This window comes from Homo sapiens, chromosome 18, assembly GCF_000001405.40.
Source record: "Homo sapiens chromosome 18, GRCh38.p14 Primary Assembly".
Lineage (NCBI taxonomy): Eukaryota > Metazoa > Chordata > Mammalia > Primates > Hominidae > Homo > Homo sapiens.
This window is the reverse complement of record NC_000018.10, coordinates 9,840,353-9,863,806: the sequence shown is the minus strand read 5'-3', so window position 1 is coordinate 9,863,806 and position 23,454 is coordinate 9,840,353. Positions and strand designations below refer to the sequence as shown.

The 23,454-nt window shown below is 42.3% G+C and overlaps 1 protein-coding gene and 1 pseudogene across 1 annotated transcript in view; one reads left to right on the top strand and one right to left on the bottom strand.

Moving 5' to 3' along the window:
• Window positions 1-1,255: 1,255 nt before the first annotated feature.
• RAB31 (RAB31, member RAS oncogene family) overlaps window positions 1,256-23,454 on the bottom strand; it is a 154,251-nt gene continuing 132,052 nt past the window's right edge. The window contains exons 6-7 of the mRNA NM_006868.4: window positions 18,116-18,225; window positions 1,256-4,579 (exon numbers count right to left, since the gene is read on the bottom strand). Coding sequence (NP_006859.2) covers window positions 4,482-4,579; window positions 18,116-18,225 — 208 coding nt within the window. The 3' untranslated portion in view covers window positions 1,256-4,481. The remainder of the gene's footprint in view (window positions 4,580-18,115; window positions 18,226-23,454) is intronic.
• RNA5SP449 (RNA, 5S ribosomal pseudogene 449) lies at window positions 18,961-19,090 on the top strand (annotated as a pseudogene).

Genomic DNA, 23,454 nt, shown 5'->3' with positions numbered 1-23,454 from the left:
AAGTCTGGGCTGCACAAAATCTGCCATCTGAATCCAATCACGGGATTATTTCCAAAAACATCTCCCAAAGTTGCTATACACAGGTAACCGCTTCTTAGTAAATGCAAAAGAAAGCCATGCTTTCTCATAAAATTGGAACACTGGGTCTCTTGTTGGTGATGGTGGGTGTTTCTAGTTTGATTACATATTGGAAGCATTTCCTAGCAGGGGCCTCTGACAGTGTCTCCAATGCTGAGAACATGAAGGTGCTGCTTCTCTCCTCTTCACCTCCCACTTTCCCAGTCATCTAGATGTCAAATGAAGCTCTGCAGAGAAAACATAAGCCCCACAAGGGCATGAATGTGAAAGTGTGTGTGTGTGTGTGTGTGTGTTTGTTGGTGGCAGGTAGTGGGGGCTGAGACAACGGAGGAGACGGGATGGGAGTGAGTATACCTCATCAAAGTAACTGACTTGGCAAATACACTTATGAAATCTTTCTTGCATATTAAAGAAGTCACCCTCATCCTTTATATAGTTTTTGTTGTCTCCATTCCCCTTCCTCTTTGAAAAACGAAACACACAGAAAAATATAAAGGCTAATAAAACACACACCTTGAAATGACCAAATGTTATCCTTTTGTCGTACTGGCTTCAGATTTTTCTATCATGAAGTAAATACAAATGACAGATAGTTACATCTCCTTCGTTCTCCCTGATCCTGTTCACTTCTCTCCCTCCCCTTAGGTAAGGACCATCATGAAGTTCCTGTTTTACTTTCTAATTCTTTTAGCACACAAACACATTCATAAACAATGTCTGAATTATTGTTCTGTGTGAGTTGACATGCATTGGTACTTATTCAGCTTGCTGTATTCACTCAGCCAGGGCCACAGGTTGGTTGCCCAGGCGATGCACTGCACAGTTCCTGAGGGTTGCATTCATACAGGACACTATGATGGCTCCCTTGGGGATGTGCAGGATGGCAGCCTGCACTCCAAACTCCGTTTTTGAGATCAATGTTGATGCATGACAGTGAGTTCATTTTCATTACCTGATAGCTTTCATCATGTGGCTGGGCCGCATTTCATTTTTCCATTTCCTTAGTGGAAGGCAACATTTTGCTACTGCAAACAGTGTTTCAGGGAACATCCTTATGCATGTCTGCATATGTGCAGGTGCACACATTTCCCTGGGGAATCATCATTCTCTGTTTGAGTTAACTGTGATTTTTAAAAAATGATTCTACTGAACAGTGTAATAAGAAAAAGACAAACGGTAAAACTGAAAATATTTATTAGTATGAATCAGTGTGTGTTAAACCAAAAATAACAGATACAATTAGGCATTGTTGATGGAAATGCTTTACTACAGAATAGAATACATGGCGGAAAGGTCCTAGCTGACTGCAGCGGTGTCTTGTATGTGCAAGAACTGGGTCCAGCCCAGATGGAAGCTCTTTACAAAAACACGAGAAAAAGGAGCAGTTTGCACAACAGGGCAGCACCACTGGACTACAGGGTCTGGTTTCAACAATGATGTTAAAACAGTAAGCTAGATACCCAGTCGGTCTGAATACAGTTCAGAGCTCTTTAATTTATAAGCTAGCTCACCATTCAACTTGCCATGAGCATTGCAGAACAGTGAGAACTGGAGCCCACACAAAAAAGCTCAGTTTCAGCCACCACATGCCAAAGTCCTTGACTGTAGAGGAAATATTTCAGTCATCCAAACCTTTCTCAGAAAATGAACTCAGTTTCCATTGGGGCACAGCCCTTATTGTTAGCTAAAAGTTAGTTTCGGGCCTTCAACCTTTTAGTCTGCAAGGTAACGTCATATTCAACTGCCTAATGTGCCGTTTTTAACCATAAAATGGCAAGTCAATTATGTGGCAATGTAAAATGCTTGCACAACTCCACTGTCATTCTCAGAGATTTCCATTGGGAAGCCATGCCTACTTTATATTAACACATGGCTAGGGGCCAAACTCAGCCAGTGAAATGGATTACATATCGGAGTAACACATATACAATCATATTTACACAGATACACACTCATGCCACACACGAAAGAAAAAAAAAAGGGAGAAGGAACAAATTTTGGAAAACGATGCCAAGGATGCTACACTACATGAAACTACATGACTTTTTTTAGCAACAGTAATTTCCAGGCCTTTACATAATATTACATGGTTATGGTTCAATTATTAGACAGCCAGGAAGTAATCCCGAGCCAAAACAAAGGAAGGTTGTAAAGCCTCATTGTAGACAAGGCCTGAGCATCCACAGAGAAGATACAATGTTTATGTGAATCCTGGTGTGCCCAAGTGTGATCTACTCTCTTCACTGACTACTCTGAGTGCTGATGAGAATATATATATTATCCTCTGACTGGCTTGAATAGCTAAGACAATACAGAAAGGTAACAGAGTGGTTTCACACCCTCATGTGCTTCTGAAATAAAACCATGGGCTCATTAGTGGGTAGCTCACTATCTGTGGCAAAGACTAGACATTTTATGCAAAACACAACCACTGCAAACCCAGCCCAAAGATGCAAAACTCTCAGCTAGGATACTTACCCCTCAGCTAAAAAACCTGAACAGCTATCTAGAGATAAACCCAGGTTCTCAGGGAAAACTGGATGAGGAAAGGTTACAAAATAAGCCTGCAACTCAGCTGGAAAGAGGTCACTTCAATTTTCAACTCATTTTTTTTTTTTTTTTTTTACCTTTGGCAAGGGGTATGATCATTTCTTGGCCTGCAAGCACAATCATGCCAACCATTAATGTGGACAATGTGGAAAAAACCCTAAAAATCCCTGCAAAGCCCCTGTCAAGACATCCAAATGCCGCTTGCTAACAGTTTTTGAGGTACCTATTTGGGAGAGCCAAGTGGAACTCTTGAAGCAAAATAAGTGTTTCCCAGCCTTCACATCCTAACACTGTCAATGAACTCTCTTAAGTTGAGTGAAGTGGAAGCGTGCTGAGTTACTGAAGTGCCAGGTCTTTAATCCAATCAGCTCACAACCTCTTTCCTGACTTTTGCGATATAGATTGTCAATAAAGGTTAGCCGTCCCTTGAATGCTCATGGCAAAGAAGGTACCAGCTGGCCCTGGCTAGCACACAGCATGATTAACCATTTCTGAGCACCAATCCTAATGTCCTTTAAGAATCACCCCCTAATATAAGCCCTGGCAGGAAATCAGCTGCTTCTTGATCCCAACTTTTTATGAAAGTTAGAATGGTAATAGAATTTGAATTTTCAGTAGGAATCAGTTCTCTTCCTTTCCATGCTTTTTCTTCCTTGACTTCCTTTGGATTCAAACATCTTTAATTGAGCAGACAGGGAATCTGAAAAGGAAGGTTTTCATCGGAGCCCATTCTCAGTTCCTTGGCATTCTAGGGTCAGACCTCTGGTTAGCCCTAAAGCCCTTCTCCTCAAGCTAGAAACATAAAAATACTTTTTCTGATTTTGTAGTTTTTTGGGGTCTAGAATTTTAAAGTGCTGACACTTCCTCTGGCTGGCTTTCCTGTAACCTATTATTAATTGTTATTATTAGAAGTTTGCCCAATGATTTAGATTCAAACATTAAATTTAATTCTAGTTAATTCTCTTCCCCTAGATATGACACCAAGAGATATTCTCTTAGTAAAATAATACTATGTGCGTTAAACTTCTCTAAGAGAGGACGAATGTATTCCTGCGGAGGAGATGCATGTCAGGTGGTCTCTTGAATAATGTGTATGTCCTGCATCTCTCACCACTTACATAGTGATTACTTAAATCACTCTTTCAAACTAGGCCACCCAATCCCAAAATTATATGCAGTAATTTAGTTTGATTTGGTTTGTTTGGGTATATATGACCATAACTTAGAAAAATTGTTCACCAATTAAAAGTGGTGTAGACAACAGTTTCTAATACACTTTTCCTGGCTTCTGTAATAACTCAAGTCTCAGTCTGAGTGACGGTCCATTGACACTTCTCTGATTTCCTCCAAAAAGTAATAAATAAAGGCTTACTTCCAAAGCTAGCTAAAAACTAACCTCCTGAACTAAATTTGCCTTTCAGTGAAGGTTGGTTAGGTAACAAAGGCAATGACACTGAAGTAGTTACTGGAATTTGGATAGGTAGCACAGGAAATCCAAGTGGAATGCCACTTTAGAATCCCATACACATAATAAGGCAGTAAGACTTTTGTACACATCCAACAATTTTTAAAGGTTTTTTTTTTTTTTTAGCAAAAATGCAACTACATCCCCTCCATGTGCATTTCATACACTAAAGGCCATTTTGTGGTGGTGTGGTGGGTTTTCCCAGGGTTTTCTAAAATCCTTTTCAGGTACATTTCCTGCCCCGCCCCCTGCAGGTCTTCCAGGATGCAAAGCCAGTGTGCTCACTCTTCTCAAAGTGAGGTGCCAGGCCACCGAGCGTAGGGTCCTTCAGCAGTGCACAGGATGTGGGCTCTGGCTTCTTCAAGTACCGTGGACCACGGCCCTTGGGTCAACAGCACCGGCGGCTGGCTTGCATGGTTGGCTTCTCAACTTTGATTGTTCCATTGTTTCCATTTTCATGGGGGTCCAAGGGTGGGATCTGGCGGCCTGCAACAAAAAGGAGGCCAAGGGTGAGTTCCCTTTCCTACAGCCAACACTGCACACACAGATTTTCACCCTGCTTCAACACTCCTGCTTTGGGCTGTGCACAAAATAAAGGTGTTCCTGGAGGGGCTCCTTTCTCCTTCCTTCCTTTCCTTCCTCCCTTCCTTCTTCCTATCCTTTCCTCCCTAGTTCTGCTGCATGAAGCCCAATTCATGGGCTTAGGAAGTTCAGGTAAGGAACAGTCCAGCAGTTTCCTGGTGGTGTGGAATTCCTGGGCTAGGAAGATCCACTCCTGGGGGCAGCTCCCATCCAGCCTCCGCTCATCAGCGCGCTCTTCCCTCTCCCTGCCTTCCCAGAGACCCATCCTGGTTTAATGAGCGGCTTTCATGGTACCGTGACTTCAACAGTAACAGTGAGTACTCATCCATCTTTTCTGCTTCTCAAAATAGAAATAGATTTGAATTGTAATCTTCCTAGCAGTGTCATTTATTAACACTTAGCTCATCATCCCTCATCCTGCCAATGCATTTAGATCATTAACTGGAAAGCCCTACAGAGACACTTTTCATAGGAAACAGTATTTTAATGTCATCCACAAGTAATCTTATTTTTACTTAACTTAATTTTAAAAATTATCAGAAAGTCTCTATAAATAAACACAAAATCAAAATTAAACAGGCAATGGAAGGGGCCAGGGAGATGACAGCTAAAGGGTATGGGTTTCTTTATGAGGTGATTTTTCTAAAATTGACTGTGCTGATGGCTGCACAGATCTGTGAATATACCAACACCACCGAATTGTACATTTGAAATGGGTGAAATGTATGGTATGTGAATTTTATCTCAATAAAGTTGTTTTCTGAAAAAAGGCAATGGAATCTGGAAATAACCTTAGTAGCTCCCAGTTTTCAAAGATTTTCACAAACACCATCCTCACCTCGCCCTGTGAATTTGATGTAATGGTCGTTATTATCACCATTTCACTGTGACTCGAGAACTTGAGCACTTTGCTGAAGGTCCCATCAATAACAGGCAGTAGTACAGCTGGTGCTTTGATTATAATCTACACCTTGACTTCCTGATGGGTCGCAAGGCCTGTGCTCTTCCCACTGAACCACATTAGGTCTCTTTGCTACTTTTCTATGCCCCTTGAAAAAGGCATGAAACACTAGCTCTAAAATGAGGATTTTGTTTTATTCTTGAGACAGGGTCTCACTCTGTCACCCAGGCTGAAGTGCAGTGGCTTGATCATGGCTTACTGCAACCTCGAATTCCGGGGCTAAAGGGATCCTCCCACCTCAACCTTCTGAGTAGCTGGGACTATAGGTGTGCGCCACCATGCCCCGATAAATTTTTTTTTTTTTTTGTAGAGATAGGGTCTTGCTATGTTGCCCAGGCTGGTCTCAAACTCCTGGCCTCAAGTGATCCTCTCACCTTGGTCTCCTAAAGTGCTGAGATTACAGGTATGAGCCACCAGGCCTAGGCTAAAATGAATATCTATATCTATCTATCTATCTATCTATCTATCTATCTATCTATCTATCATCTATCTATCTATCTATCTATCTATCTATCTATCTATCTATCTATATTATTGGCTAGTTAGTGTATTCATTTGCTAAGGAACCAGTAATTAGAAGTGGAAGGGAAATTGGTTCTAAAGACAAAGTCTTTTTTTTTTTTGGTTGTGGTATTGATTTATTTTTCCCCAGCACATCTTAAAAATCACACATGGGCATTTGCTTAGAAAACAGTACAGTCTAAGAAAACCAGTAAGAGGAGAATCTGAACACACACTGATAGCACGGAATACTGACTATGCGCTGGGCCCTGACAAAGTCTTTTAATGCAAGTGGGTGTTACCTAATGACAATATAGAGCACCAAAACACCCCAGCAGAGGTGCATTTCCACAAGGGACAAAAAGAGTTGATTTCAAAGGTAATAATACATTGTGTAGATCAGATGGTATAGACAGTCACCAAAGCTTCAGCATAAAGATGAAGGTCACCAGCATTTAACTCCAAACTCAAAAGTAATAGTAGAGATCTTCATTTGATGATGAAGCAAATGAAAAGTTTGCAACAATTTCTGCAGCTGTGGCTTTTGCCATTTTGTGTAGCCAACAGAGATCTACAGAGCTTTTGCAGGACATCTCCAAAAACTTCAGTCCCAATCCAGGAGGAAAGGAGACCATAAGTATGAATTTTCCTTTTCTGGACATGCTATTCTTTTAAATTTATCACAATTAAAAGGGAGTAAACAAAATGCCTCTTCTACTTGGTCAACCTTAAGTGATAAATAGAGAAGGAAGTCTCCAATGACTACCAGTACTCTTTAAAGATCTAGCCAAGTCAGATCTTGCCAATAAAGAGTTACTTACTCCTGAAGAGAAAGGGGTGACAGTGTCGAGTTACATCATTATTGAAGTTAGTAATATTTCAGGAGCCTCCTGAGTGTGTTACACACTGCAATCAGGACTTTTGCTTTTGCACCTGAAATATTTTTGGACAGTACTATAATTCTCATGGGTACAGCTGTTGCCCTAGTTAGCCAAGAGCTGTTTACTTATCAGTAAAAGGAGTTGACATTTTAGCATTTTTCACTGTATCAAAATCAAATTCTATGTTAACATCAAAACTTTGTGCTGTCCTTATGCTAATCCTAATGTTAGCAGAACAGCATTAGCTTTTTAGCCCTCCATGACTTTATTTCCCTCATGTCTTGTTTTCATAAGTTTTTTGCTTTGGAAAGTACACAAATTAAAGAAAAAGTTTATATGTAAGACAGTTATTAAAGTGACAAAAGTATAATGAAAATCTAGAAAGGAAGAGCGTACAGATAGCAAAGTAGGATGCCAGGAAGGTCTGTCCACACCTTTCCCCGCTTTCCGCCACCTCCTTCCTCTTTGCTGCTTCTCATTTCTCTCCCCAGTCAACAATGAGCACTGATGCACAGAATGCAAAATTGAGGAAGGCCTGGCTCTGTCTCAAGAAGACTCCCCTCCTGCATGTTTTGAACTCTTAGCAGCACTCTTGAATCAGCTGTTGAACATGGCTTCTTAGGAGTGCCAGGTTCTTTTATCTTCAGAATATTCAAAATTTCACTTATTAGAGTAAAATATTTCTCAGACTTCATTTTTCTCCTTTGGTAGGAAGAGTTTTGAGATGTGAGAGAGTCAGCATTCCAGTTCAATGAACTTGGACCAGTTATTTAAAACCTCCGAGCCTTCCTTTGTTCACCTATAGAACGAATGTGGGAAAGGAACACACACAGCCGTCACTAAAAGGGGAGGAACAAATGATGATGGAGGGAGTCCCCAGCAGTTGAGGGCTTCTGGGCACGGCTCATGGGTTTTGCATGGCGGGGAGAAATGCTGTGTGATTCATGGTCACGGTCAATTCTCAGGGTTCAGTTAGTGGACCGGGACCCATCTCATCTACAAAACTCTCAGCCTGGGATAAGTCACACACATGCCAACCTTAAACACAGGGAGAAGGAAATGCTTCCACGCAGAGAAAGAGAAAAGCCAGATCATAACAATGAGGCCGGCACCTTTAAAAGGAGAAGGGAGCCTGCACCAGGAAACCAGAACGCAAAACAAGAAAGCAAACGCCGAACGCAAACCCCGATCTTAGGGCCTAAGGTATTCAGAATTTACCGGAAGGTTCAAGGCACTTACACAAAGGCATGGTTTTGGAAAATGGCCATGGCTTTCTGTACCAAGGTGATCACCTTGGAACTCTGTTGAATCAGTATTATTTACACAGGCATAGAGCAGGACAAAAATATATACAAAAACATCTGAAAAGGCTCTGAGCCTAGTCTGTAGGTTTCCACTCTTACAAAATGTGCTCTAAGTAGTCAGCCTCCAGAACAAGTTGTCCTTGAGCATAAATTTGAGGCCAGAGTGTTTATTTTAATAGGGTTTGGATTTTGTAAGATGCTGTCTAGGAGAAGTTTAAAAGACTTTTTTTTTTTTAAGTTCAGTTTTCCTGAAAGTTGACAGTCTAGAGGAAACGCAGGTTTTAGAAATGATTCCACAGGAACACAGTATGTGAAAACAAATTCCTAGCCTGTAAGTTTTATCCTGGCTCGGAACTGGGCTGTCATGCATTTACACACAACAAAAATAAAACAGCAAGCTTAGCTGGGGCTGTTCCCTTTCCCCGTGGACCAGCCATTTCCTGCGCAAGCGCTGATTCTCCCGCTAACCATTCCACTGTATGTAATTCTTCTCTCCTTTCATTCCAGTTCCAGTATTTACTTGGCTTGGTTATCTTTTGTTTGGTGTTAGCAATGCTGGCAGTTGCTGTGTAACATCCATTTCTTGATTTGATTTTCTGAATCATCTAGATGAGTAACTTGACCAAGTTTGCTAGGACTTGGCAGTATTCACTCTTGATAATGACCTTTAGCCTCTAGCCATGTAGAGAGGGGGTCTCTGGAACACAGCAATGACTCACGATCATGGAACATCGCCCTAATAATGCAGAACTGGGGGACACACACATGCTACTTGAAGTTATTCCCTATCACTGTCCTCTTGCTGCCATAAAGAAGACAATATTAGGATTACTAGAAGGCCCTGAATATTAGGATAAAGAGGAACGCGCTACATGCTATAAAGGACCGGAATGGATTCTCAGGTGGGAAGCTCATTAGGTCAGGAGGCCTGGAAAGCCCAGGTCAGGGGTTAGGTGAGCCTTAAGTGTGCCACGGGGAAGCAGGAAGCACAGATGGAAAGGGAAACTGTGGAAGATGCTTGGCAGGAGGTGACAACTGCCTGGAGGCGGGAGAGTCAAGACAGAGACCAAAAAGCCTGAAGTTAAAAGTCTAGGGAGGTAAAGAAGTGGTGATGCACCTGCACGAGGGGAATCAGGGGAGGTCACAATTGCTCCAAAATGCTGAGGTGTCCAACAAGGAGAGACTTAAGCTACTTTAAAATCATTAGGCTTCCCCTCCACGTTCTCAGCAAACTAACACAGGAACAGAAAACCAAACACCACGTGTTCTCACTCATAAGTGGGAGTTGAACAATGAGAACACATGGACACAGGGAGGGGAACATCACACACCAGGACCTGTTGAGGGGTTGGGGGTGGGGGAGCGAGAGCATTAGGACAAATACCTAATGCATGCAGGGCTTAAAACCTAGATGACGTGTTGATACGTGCAGCAAACCACTATGGCATATGTATACCTGTGTAACAAACCCGCATGTTCTGCATATGTATCCTGGAATTTAAAGTTAAAAAAAAAAAAAAAGAAAAGAAAAGAAAAGAAAAAAAGAAAACCTTAAAAAAAATCATTAGGCTTCCCTACCACTCAAAGGCACCTTTCTCTTTCTTTTTTTAATTGATAAACTTTATTTATTTATTTTTTGAGCAGTTTTTGGTTTATGGAAAAAAATTGAGTGAAAAATAGAGAATTGGCATATACCTTCCTCTCCTCATCTTCAATTTCTCCCATTTTTAACATCTTAGTTTAGTGGAACATTTGTAACAACTGATGAACCAACATTTGCTGAAGACATTACTATTAAGGATAGTCAGTCTATAGTTCACAGGAGGGTTCCGTTTTGGCACTGTATATTTTATGGGTTTTGATAAACATGTAATAACATGTATCCTCCTTTATAGTATCAGACAGAACAGTTTCACTGCCCTAAAAATCCTGTGACCCACCAATTCATCCCTTCCCTGACAGCCCACAGCAACCACTGATCTTTTCACTGACTCCACAATTTTGTCTTCTCCAGAGTGTCATGTAGTTGGAGTCATACAGTGTGTAGCCTTTTCAGATTGGCTCCTTTCACTCAGCAATATGCATTTAAGGTTCTTCCACATTTTTTATGGTTTGATAGCTCATTTTCTTTTTATCCCTTATAATATTCCATTATATGGATGTATCCCTTTAATTTTTTTTATTTTAACATTTAGAAATTATAAGACAGAAAAAGCACAAATCAAAAGGGAAAAAATCTGACAAACTACACTTCATCAATAATTAAAAACCTCTTTTCTCCAAACAACACTGTCAAGAAAATGAAGACAAGCCACAGCTTGGGAGAAAATAATTGAAAAACAAATATCTGATAAAAAATATGTATCCAAAATATATAAGTAACCTTTAGAACTCAACAATAAGAAGACAAACGACCCATTACAAAATGGGTAAAATTTGAAGAGGCTCTTCACCAAGTTATACAAATTGAAAACAAGCTCATGAAAAGACACTCAACATTACTAGTCATTAGGAAAATGCAAACAAAAATCACAATGAGATACCACTATACTTCCTTTCGAATGGTTAATATTTTACAAACCGACGGTACCAAGCGTTGACAAGGACTTGGAGCAACTGGAACTCCCACACATTGGTGGTGGTAACATACTGTAGTAAAACCACTTGGAAGACAGTTTGGCATTCTAATCTTAGAAAGTTAAAAACACACCTACCAGATAAGACAGCCATTCCAATCCATAGTATTTACACACACAAAGACTTGTAAATGAATACTCATAGCACCTTTACTGGTTATCACCCAAAACTGAAAACAATCCAAATGCTAGGTGAATAGATTAATAAATTGTGGTTTATGCATGCAATGGAATACTATTCAGGAAAAAAAAAAAAGGAACTCAGCAAAATCCATATTGTCTTAAACTCTGCAGGAAAACTGATCTAATTTCTTGGATAAACAAATTGCATAAGGGGAAAAAAAGAAAGATGGAATGGAAAGCTATTGCTTAAGAGAGGCCTAAAAGACATACCAACTAATCCCAGCATGTGGAGATTATTTCCATTCTGATGTAAACAAATGGTAACATGCAAACAAAGAAACCATTTATGACAACTATGAACTTTTTGGAAATTTGACCACTGACTGTTTATTTGATGATAGTAATTAATATGATAACAGCATTCTGGTTATTAATATGATAACATAGTTGTCATTGTTTAAAAAAATTATGGACAAAATATTTATAGATTAAATTAGATGTCTGAGATTCTCTTCAAAATAATACAGGTGGTGAGCACAGGATGGGATAGAGATGGCACAAGCTTGGTTTTGAGTATACAATGGTTCACTATATTATTCAGTGCACTTGTGTATATGTTTGAAATTTTACATAATAAAGTGTTTTTTAAGTTCCCTGGAATCTGACCATCATGAAACAACCACTGTTAACATTTTGATATGTATCCTTCCAAGAAGGATATATTCTTGGAATAATATTTATCATTATATATATTGAAATATATTATGAAATATATGAAATATGATATTGAAATATATTATGAAATATGATATTGAAATATATTATGAAATATATGAAATATGATATTGAAATAGATTATGAAATATTATGAAATATGAGATATATTGTGAAATAAGGATATTATATGAACTGCTCTGTAACTTCCATTTCACATTCAATGATTGATCTTTTTATGTCAGTAAACAAAGATTTATGTCATCCTTTTGAATCACTTGTTTATATGGGTGTACCATGATTTCTTAAAAACTATTTCCTAACTTTTGGACAGTTCAGTAATTTCCTGTTTTCTGCTGTCATGAATAATGTTACAATAAACCACGCTGTGCAATGGGACATGATATAGACAAGCTAAGAGCATGTGCCCCGGAGCCTGCCTGCCTGTCTCTCACTTATTAGCTGTGTGCCCTGGGGAAAGTTACAAGCCTCTCCAGGCCTCAATTTCCTCATCTGTAAAACAGGGATGATAACAGAGCCTACTTCACAGGATCAAGGGTGCATTAATGAGCTAAGTATATATTTCAGCAATTGCAACAAAAGCACAGAATCAGAGCTCCGTACATATTAAACCTTGTTATTATGTTTGCACACCTGAAGAATTTCTTCTTTAGAATTGCTGGAATAAAAGACATGCCTTTTGAGACCCAACTTGCCCATATGCCGAAATGACATTATTTTACATTCACTAAATTAACTTTCTTGGTGTAAGAAAGTCTGTCCACTTTCTTAAGTGGATTGCATTTGGTAAATTAACTTTTTTTGGGGTGAGAAAGTGGACAAACTTTGTCTTTGTCCTTTCCTTGTTCCTTAACTGCTAAACTTACCTTCACCTGACAGCTTGCTGACTATTATAAAATCTGCAAACCTTTTGCTTTGCTTTAAAATTACTTTAACCTGCTACTAACTAAAGGTGCCTAGAGCACAACACTCTGTGAACAAATGTTTCCAGAACAAGACATGATCACTACCCACAAGTCTTAACTTGTTGTCTTTCATATTAACACCCCATTCCAATTTTCCAAGCCAATATGCTTGTACCTCTAAATATATTTACCTTATTTATTTATTTATTTATTTATTTTAGAGATAGGATCTCGTTCTGTTGCCCAGGCTGCAGGGCGGTGGCACAGTCATAGCTCACTGCAGCCTCAAACTCCTGGGCCCAAGTGATCCTCCTGCCTCAGTCTCCAGAGTAGCTGGGACTACAGGTGCACACCGCCATGCCCATATATTCACCTTAATAAAACAAATGTTTCTCACCTTGCTCTCAAACTAACAACAAATATAAAACCTGGTCTAATGTCTCTAGTGTCTCCAAGTGTAATTTTCAGGAGAAAGTCCTGCTTTCTCTGCCACAGTCAACACTTAAATTAACTGGAGCAAAATGCATAGCTATTTTGCTGGGTTCCACCCCAATCCAGACATTTTTCTGCTGAGCCTGCAGCTCCACCTCTCTTTGCCCTCAGGAAAAGTTAAAATACTTTTAAAGAGATATTCGAGTTAAGTAATTAAAATCCACAAACCAGCTGGCCATGGTGGCACATACCTGTAATCCCAGCACTTTGGGAAGCCAAGGCGGGAGGACCACTTGAGCCCAGGAGTTCAAGACCAGCCTGGACAATACAGCGAGACCTCATCTCTAAAAATAAAAAAATAATAATAATCTACAAACCAAAACTTGGGTTCACCACAATCCAGAATCCTATATGCTAGGCTCATAACCAAATCCAGCCCAGATCACTTGTTCCTATGCCAATCCTCCTCATTCCGGCAAACAGAACTTGGGGATGACTCTTGGTAACGCTGTCTTCCTCATTCCCCATCTCCTTCCAGTGTTATTGGTTCTTCTGGAAGATTTCTGAAATCCAGCTCCACTTCCTCCACCCTCGTCCAAGCCACTTCTCTCCTGGATTATTACAATCGCATGCCAACTGATTGAGACATGCGGAGACTTTCCTCCTTTTAAGTGTGATCTTTTTTTGTAAATGTAAATTGGACACTCTGCACTCCTGCTTTAAAAGCTTGAGGGGCTTCCAATTGTTTCAGAGTATCACCCTTACTCCCATGGCAAGGCCCTGCTGAGTCTCTAACCACAACTTCCCACAGCACTCCTTGCTCTTCCTTAAAAGCACCACGACATTTCCTGCCTTGGGACTTGGCTCCTGCGGTTTGCTCTGCCTGATAGCTCTTTGCCCACTGGCCTTTTCTCGTTTTTCAGGTCCAGCTTAAAATCATTTCCCCGGGGAGGCCTTCCTCACCCAATCTAAAGCCACTCCCTCGCCCCATAGTAACCTCTCACAGTCCACTCCTTCGCCGCGCAGCACCAATTACCAAGAGTCACCAGACACCGATCTGACTGTGCCCACAGCTGTCTCCCCGACTCCACTGTCACTGCGCCTTGTCACCGTGCTGTCCCCAGGGTCTAGCATGGCACCTACCCATAAAAGAGTACAGTATATATTTGTGAATAAACGAATCAAGAGTAAGTAGGCTTGTCTAATTTGCTGTTCTTCAACCTTAAATTCCCAGAGAAAAGTGATTACATTTCACTTTATATCATGAGATGAGGACGGAGATCCAAATTCAAAGCCCCGAATTCAGCACCATTCCATTTATTAGTCTCAGCTTCATGGGTAATACAAAAGACAAGCTCCCAAAGAACTTGCAATCTCCCTAGAAGAACAGGCACATACCTAAACGCTTGGAGAATCAATTAAAGATAAAATATGTTTAAGTGTCAAAATGGCAGAACAAACCAAAAGTAACCTCAAGTTTTTACTTTTCTTCCTTGGGTGTAAGAACCCAAGGAAAAAAAAATAAACAAACCCTGGGTAGAAATGCATGGAAGAGAATTAGCCACATGCAGGCAGACAAAGTAGGTCTAAAAATGTGATTTAGAAAAGGGTGCCTGGAGGAATACCAATCAGACGACAATATATTATATGAGGAGGACAAACTGCACAGACCACCCCAAACAGAGCAGCACCTAAATCCTTTACAGGGTAGCTTCAGTCTTTAAAAAGATAACATATTTTTGTAAGCAGTCTCCAGTTAGACACTGTATTTGCCAATGTTCAGAAAACACAGTTGTCCCATTTCTGGTTTATGAACACTATGGGACTGTAAAAGAGAAACATTCATCTCTTCATCCGAGTCAATGTGAATTCATTTTGTTTAAACACACCTTTTTAAAGGGCTTTTATTTTCACAGCTCCTTAACTTTTTATTGCATTTTTTCTCCAGGCATAGTCGACTGTGGAACATTGCTTTGGGGAGCCTAGGTGTCAGCAATATGTAGTTCTATTTTAAGCTCAGGGAGGAGCACATGTAATGTAAGTAGGAACAGGGAAAAGAAAAATAAATGAAAAGTCTGCTGCAGTATATTTAGGTGTACTTGGAATTGTGTTTTAAATTAACCTGCAATTAGGCTACAGAACTCCATTCTGAAGAAATTCACATGAAGGAGAAAAGAGGCAAAAGATCCAGTGCTTACACATGCAGATAGACAGGCGGACAGATGGACAGATGGACAGACAGACGGATGGCTAGATAGACAGATGACTAGACAGACAGATGTACAGATGAATAGATAGATAGACGGACAGATGGATAGACAGATGGACAGCTAGAAAGATGGATATACACACAGATGGACAGAAGGACAGACAGAGACAGACAGGCAGATGGACAGATAGACAGCCAAGTGGACAGATGGACAGACAGATGGAGGGAAAGATGGATAGACAGACAGATGGATAGCCAGACAGATGGACAGACTGAGGTTTTGCCATGGCTGTGTATTTACAAGCTTTCTTTGTCAAGGCAGTTACAACCAAAGTATAATAAAACAGAAACAAACAATTGTTTATGTGACATGAAAGATGAGGTGATATGGGTATTTGATGGCTTATATAGGAATTAATTACTTTGAAACCATAATTACCCATGTTTGAGCAAAGCACTTGTTTTTTCATAAAGTAGACCACCAAGATCTGAGGAATTAACCTGTTCAAAGTCCCTGTCACACACAGGAAGGGATTTATACTGGATAAATGTCTTTTAAGTTATTACTACAAGCCATGTGTGGTGGCTCACACCTGTAATCCTGGCACTTTGGGAGGCCGATGGGGGAAGATTGCTTGAGCTCAGGAGATTGAGACCAGCCTAGGCAACATGGCGAGACCTTGATTCTACTAAAAATCCAAAAATTTAGCTGAGTGTGGTGGTGCACACCTATAGTCCCAGCTACCCAGGTGGCTGAGGTCGGAGGATTGCTTGAGCCCAGGAGGTGGAGGCTGCAGCGAGCTATGATTGCACTACTGCACTCCAGCCTGAGCAACAAAGACTCTGTCTCAGAAAAAAAAAGAAAAAAGATATTAGTACAGTACTTCCTACTCAGGCTTCTTCTCTTTCAGGTCCTTATTTGATATTTTTAAATTTTAACAATGACTTTCATAAACTTCAGAAAGCTTCCCAGCTGGTGCAGAGATCTCAAGCTCAAGTTCAGGTCATACAAGGCACCAGGCTCCCCTGGCTGACCACTGATATCTGTGCTGGGGGTCTTCCAAGGCCAGGGAGCTAAGGAGGAGGAGGGGGCTCTGCGGAAGACGCGGGGCTGTAAGGATGGAAGGTGCTAAGGCAATCGTCCTCAGGAGCTATCTAGCTTCATTCATTAAAACCACCTGTAAAAACAAAATGTTTCATAGCTGAGCATAGCAGAAGAGCCTAACGCCACCAGAAGAGAATGAGTTTAATCTGAGGAAATGTGAGGCTAATGTAATGAGTTCGAGCCCAAACTTAGATGTCACCCAGAGTGACACAACACCAGAGAGCATCTGCACCCACTGACCATGATGGAGAAGGGAGAGGAATGTGGGGACATGGGGTTTCCCACATGAAATTCCAGCCCCAGCCTGCTAGAGTTCAGCCATTCAGGGCAAGGAGCCTGAAACCATTCTGTTGAGAGTAAGAAATCAAAGGAGGAAAGAAAGGGAAGGTGGAAAGAAGGGAAGAGAGTGAAGACCCCAGTGAAGGAAAGGGCCAGCAGCTGGGGAGGGGAGGCTCCAAGCCATTCTTTTGCACATTTCTTTTGCATATCTCTGCATAGTGTAGGTAAGACAGGTCAGAATTCCCCATCTCCAATGAATTCTCCATCAAGCCAACATAAACAAAAGATTCCCTCCTGTGGGTTCTTGGAGTCTAAAGTAATGCACTCAAACCAGTTAAACAGAAATCAAAACTGTTCTGGGAAGCCACGGCTTCTCTGACTTTGAGAGCTCTGCCAAAAACGATCTCAGGCAGGAAAGAGATCAAACCATCAGTTTCCCTTCTGGAGTTGTCTGGAGCTAAGATATTTGAGGACAATTACTGTTTTGGGGTTCAACTCCTCCTAAGGTGGCTATTCCAGGAACTTCAGGGCCAGTATTTCATCAAACACCTGTACTTCTCCCAACGTCCCTGATAATGCTCCGGTCGAACTTTCCTGAGGGTGTCTCAGAGCAGTTTTCCCAGATGGCTGTCAGCAGGGACTTCTCTGGCAGAATCCGGAACAGAATGACACAACCAGAGAACTTATGAAGGTTAAATCTGTTGAGCTGGAAGCCTCACAGCTGCAGATAGATGTGTTGGCAGAGCCATTAGCTGGGAACCAGCTCTGGTTGATAAGGTTATTCCCGGGGAGCCGGCATACAGTGAGCATAACGGGACCCAGCACTGGGACCAGGAAGGAGGCTGTCACCCTCCCTAATTAGCTCACCAGACACATGGGGTACCTGTACACGCCAACCCTGTATCCAATTCCCAATTTCAGGTCAAACAGGATGGAGACATTACTTTTTGTAGGAGATGATCAGGCAAAAAAAGTTACTGGAAGGTTCCCTCAGTTTACCTAGAGTCATCCCATCTAATGGGTGACCTTGAGTTCTATACCTTGTCTATTTTCTCTCTCCTCCTAACATAAAATGCTACAGAATGCATAATTTTCAATTAAAATAAATTTTATTTTTGCAACAGGATTACTTCATTTTAATTTACAGAACTCAGAGTGAACAGGTTCCAGTACAGAATCATGGAAATCTAGAATCGAGAGGATAATAGAAGTGGGTATTAACAACTGCATAGCTGTAGATTTTGTATCCATGGCATCCGATAAATTCACACAGAGGAAAAGTTCACTTCAGAGTTCTAAAATGTTATCCTTTGACTCCCAGAAGCATAAAAATGCAAGTTGGGCTGAAAACCCAATTTCAGGTACTTACTGATTCCTTGAAAGAGCTCTTCGATATTAATAGCATTTTTTGCACTTGTCTCAACCACGATGGCACCTATGGATTCAGCGTATTCCTTAGCATCCTTCAGGGGAACCTCCCTGGAAAAGAGGTCAAATGTAGACAGGAAATGAATGTTTGTTTGTAAAATACAAATCACCCAAAAGACCAGACAGCTTGTGCGGCAACAGCTCCTTTATCTTCTTGTAGAATAATAATTCAATCACTCAGCAAGAATGGACACCTAGTATGAGTGAGACTTTTTAAAGTTTAAAACCCAGTCTCTGGCATTCATGAAGAGAAGATATGCATATATAAAATAGTGTTCCTGCTCCCACAGAAGAATTCCAGAACAGCAGGGAAAACCATGACAAATATGGCAGTACACATTTCAGCTTTCAGAGCTACAGCTGATTTCAACTTTTTTCCCCATTACATGACTCAATATTAAAAAACACCAAACCTCTGTTAGTATGTTTGTGCACACATGCTTTTGTGAAACTTTTTACATATTATCTTTCACAAATCAGAGAAAATATGCAATGTGCTGTGACAGTTTGGAAACGAGCATGGTTATACCGACCATGGCTACAATACAGGATGGCATATCTGGACTTTCATCTGTAAAAGGATGTTCTCGCAAAGGTTTTAGGGCATGAACTCTATTTAAATGAACAATTAAAAAAATCTCCTCGGGAGGCTGAGGCAGGAGAATGGCGTGAACCCAGGAAGCAGAGCTTGCAGTGAGCCGAGATTACACCACTGCACTCCAGCCTGGGTGACAGAGCAAGACTCCGTCTCAAACAAAACAAAACAAAACAAAACAAAACAAAACAAAACAAAACAAAACTCACCTGAACGCACCTGATTTCATCTGATCTTGGAAGCTAGGCAGGGTCAGGCCTGGCTAGTACTTGGATGGGGTCTACGGCCATACCACCCTAAAAAAACCTACTGACCTCTTTTCAATGTGAAAATGCTGTGGTGGATCCAAAGATAAAAAAGATGCAGTTCCTATTCTCCAGCAGCTGCTGCATGCCAGTCCCTCTCCCAGGGGCCAGAGAAAACACAGGTTCTGCCTTCTGGCACCTGTGCTTTAGAACACAGACAAACAGGGCTCATCCAGGGGCACTCTAATCCACAACACTGCGACATAAAGTGCTTCAGGAGCAGAGGGGCAGGAAGTGATGTGTTCTGTTCAATAGACCCCAGGAAGATGCCCAGAGGTGGTCACCTTAAGTGTGGCCATGAAGGCTAGGCAAATGCAGGTCAGACTCTGGGATGGGACAGCCTGAGCAGAGGCCCAGAGACAGGAGAGTGCACACATTCCCGGAGATTATTAAAAGTTGATTCTGCACCCAGCACTGCTGGGGATGTTATGGCGGATTTGCAAATGAATGACACGGGCCCGAATGGAGAGAATGTCAGAGAGGTTGGAGCTGAGAGAGGGAGGCACACCATGTCTGTCTATACCCAGAGGCCACTGAAGGACAGGAAGTGACAGGGTCAGCTCCACAGTCTAGGAAAAAATGGTGCATAGAATGGATGGAGGTGAGGAGAAGAATCTGGAAGCTCCTCTAATGCTGCAGGCAAGAGTATCACAATCCTCGACCAGAAGGATTGCTATTGGAAAAGAGAAGGAAGACACAAAATCAAAACAGGGACAGAGAGTGATGGGAGAGCGCCCACCTCCCCGCCCCTTCCTCCACCTGCCCCAGAGCCTGTAAATGGCTTCAAGAGGTTTAAAGTTACCAAGGAAATTCTACTTTGGCATTCAAATTCCTATGGGACTCAAACCATATGCGGGGAAGACCCTTCAGTCCTAGCTGGAAAAGCGCCTGACTAGGGTCTACCATGTTAAAGGCGATGGCCCCAGCCTCTCAGCCAAAAGAAATATGTCCCTGGAGCCAAGTCAGTGGGCACCTGTGCTTCCAAACTGCAGGGAAAAGTACACCCCGACATTCACTCTCTTGTTTGTAACAGACAAGACCCAGGCCTGTCACAGGGATTATGCTGGAGTTTTTCTGGCAACAGAATTTTATATTTGAAAGATTACAGAAAAGTGCTTTTCTCTGTGCAGTTTGGCATGATACCTTGTTTTTTACTTCCTCCTGAAGTTTTTTTTTTTTTTTTTTTTTTGACAGTGTCTTGCTCTGTCGCCCAGGCTGGAGTGCAGTGGCATGATCTCGGCTCACTGCAACCTCCGCCTCCCGGGTTCAAGCAATTCTTGTGCCTCAGCCTCCTGAGTAGGTGGGATTACAGGTGCGCACCACCACACCTGGCTAATTTTTGTATTTTTTGGTAAAGACGGGGTTTCGCCACGTTGCCCAGTCTGGTCTTGAACTCTTGGCCTCAAGTAATCCGCCTGCCTCAGCCTCCCAAAGTGCTGGGATTACAGGCTTGCACCACTGCGCCCAGCCTCTTCCTGAAGTCTTTATCAAAGCACAGATAAAGGGTGGGGCTCATCTCTGCCCACAATGGGGTGCAGGAGGAGATGTCACCTGCTACCCTACTGGGGGTGGGGTGAGGAGCACCTGGCAAGCAAGGATGCCTCTGGGCCCGCAGGTGAGAGGAAATCACATTCACAGGTGAAGCACTTCCTCAGCCCCTCTAATCAGTCCAACTGCAGGACAAGAAGGAGCGGCACAGGTTCACTAGGCTTACAAAAGAACAGTTATCATGTACCACAGCCCAACATCTCCATCCTTAGGATGACCATGGCCAAGAGGCTAATTCCTTCACAGTCTACAACATAAATATGGAGATGGGAAGATAAGAAAAGCACACCCTCAGACTCCTTCCATGGCTAGAGGTGAGTCTCATTAAATCATCGGCCTGCCGAAGTGACATGCCTAATGAGAGGTGAGACAGGGCTTAACCCAAACCCGTGACTCTGTCCACCTCACTCCTACAGGGCTGCAATGGCACAAGCACCCACCAGCACCACATGCCAGAGGCTGTTATTTCCATCTTGACAGACACATGTGGGGCTCAAAGTGTTTCAAACTGTCACATGCACTGCAGTTGGGGTGGGGCGGGGCAGGAGCCTACTCCATCCTCCTAAAGAACAGGTGCTTACAGGAAGAATCTGGAGGGCCAGTGAAAGTCCCTCCAATGTGAACTAAGATTAGAACGACCAATCACTCTTGAGTCTGCCAAAATATGCTCCCATTACTGTGGCATAATAAAAAAATACAGATTCGGTCTTTGCCCTGGTTCCCGGCACAGTTCTCCCCAAACCCTCAGAGTTTCCTGGGTGATAGGAGTGTCTTCTGGTATTCTTGAAGAGCCCCTTCAGCCATGACTGAGTTTGATAGCGTGTGGCCCTAGACCATCCTGTGGCCTCTTCAGGATGAGCCTGGTTGCTGGAGGAATCAACCACATGGTTAGAGGGTTGAATCTTTCAGCCCCAACGCCAGCCTCTGGGGCTGGAGATTTAATCAATCTTCATTAGTCATCTAAGTAATGAAGCCTCAATACGAACTATTGAACACAAGGCTTGAGAGGGTCCGGGCTGCTGAGCACACTGGTGTGCTGGGAGTGCTACCCCTGAGAGGCTGGAAGCTCCTTGTCCCACTCCCACCCCTCGCCCTCACTATCTCTTCCATTTAGCTACTCCTGAGTTGTGTCCATAACAACAGAACTGTATGTCAAATTAATATTATAGGAGGCCTTTGTTTCGGGCCTAAGCTCCTGCATTAGGCCCCATGAGACCAGACTGAAAATAAAAGTAGTCACCCATGCTTAAGTTCCCCTTCACCAAACCCAAACTAAGTAGTTATCTGACCTTCTGAGAAGTCACAAGAGGTAACAGCCAATTTCCCAAATAGGCCAGCTGAAATCTTCAGTAGCCATGGAATGCAGTTCCCTTGGCTTTAATCCTTACATGACATGTTAACTCATCTGATATTCCATCGTTCTGTTTCCCCGTCCCTCCCTCTGCCTGTCCCCCAAGAAAAGTATCTTTGAAACGACTAGCAGGCTACTGTTCCTTGTTCCTGCTTTCTTCAGCCCTTCTCTGTCTATAAAGCCAATCCCCTCTGCTCAGCCCATGGGAACACTTATTCTATTTTATGGAATGATTTGTTGCCAGTTCTAGAATCATGAATAAAGCCAATTGAGATTTTTTTTTTTTTTTTTTTTTGAGACAGAGTCTCACTCTATCGCCCAGGCTGGAGTGCAGTGGCGCCATCTCGGCTCACTGCAAGCTCTGCCTCCCGGGTTCACGCCATTCTCCTGCCTCAGCCTCCGGAATAGCTGGGACTACAGGCGCCTGCCACCACGCTCGGCTAACTTTTTGTATTTTCAGTAGAGACGGGGTTTCACCATGTTAGCCAGGATGGTCTTGATCTCCTGACCTCGTGATCCACCCGCCTCAGTCTCCCAAAGTGCTGGGATTACAGGTGTGAGCCACTGCGCCTGGCCCAATTGAGATCTTTAAACTAAATTTGGGCCATGCACAGTGGCTCACGCCTGTAATCCCAGCACTTTGGGAGGTCAAGGCAGGAGCATCGCTCCAGATCAGGAGTTCATGACCAGCATCAGCAGCATAGCAAGGCCCTATCTCTACAAAAAATAGGAAAAATTAGCCAGGTGTGATGGTGTGTGCTTGTGGACTCAGCTACTCAGGAGCTACTGAGATGGGAAGATCGCTTGAGCCTGGTGAGTTTGGGGCTGCAGTGAGCTATGATTGTACCACTGCACTCTCGCTTGGGTAACAGAGTGAGATACTGTCTCTAAAGAATATTTAAAAATAAATTTGTTGTAATTCCTTCCTTTGACAGTAATCATAATTCCTTCCTTTGACAGTACAGTGCTTTCCTGAGTTCTGTGAGTCCATTCTAGTGAATTACTGAATTTGAGGAGAGGTCATAGGAGACCCCAAATTTGTAGTCTGTTGGGCAGAAATGCAGATAACTTGGGGATACCAGAAACTTGCAGCTCTAGTCTGAAATGGGAGGCAGTCTCGCAGTATTGCACTCTTAACTTGCAGGGTCTACACTAACTCCAGGTAGTCAGTGTCTGAATTGAACTGAATAGTAGGACATCCAGTTAGTGTCAGATAAATTGCTGTCGGAACAAATGGTGTGACTACAATCTGTGAGGAGAGTTTTGCGAAGGTGAGAATTCACTTCCCAGAATGTCTTGCAAACATGTAAAACTGGGAACATTTGAGAACTCCAGCTGCACTTCAGGAGAGGCCACTGCACAGACCCATGATGCAGAAAGGCTGCCACCACAGGCCTCCCGTCATTACGATTATGGGAGGGTACGGCATCCCGTGACTTTTGTTTATTTTTTTTCAACAAGTGTATAGGGTTTACTATATG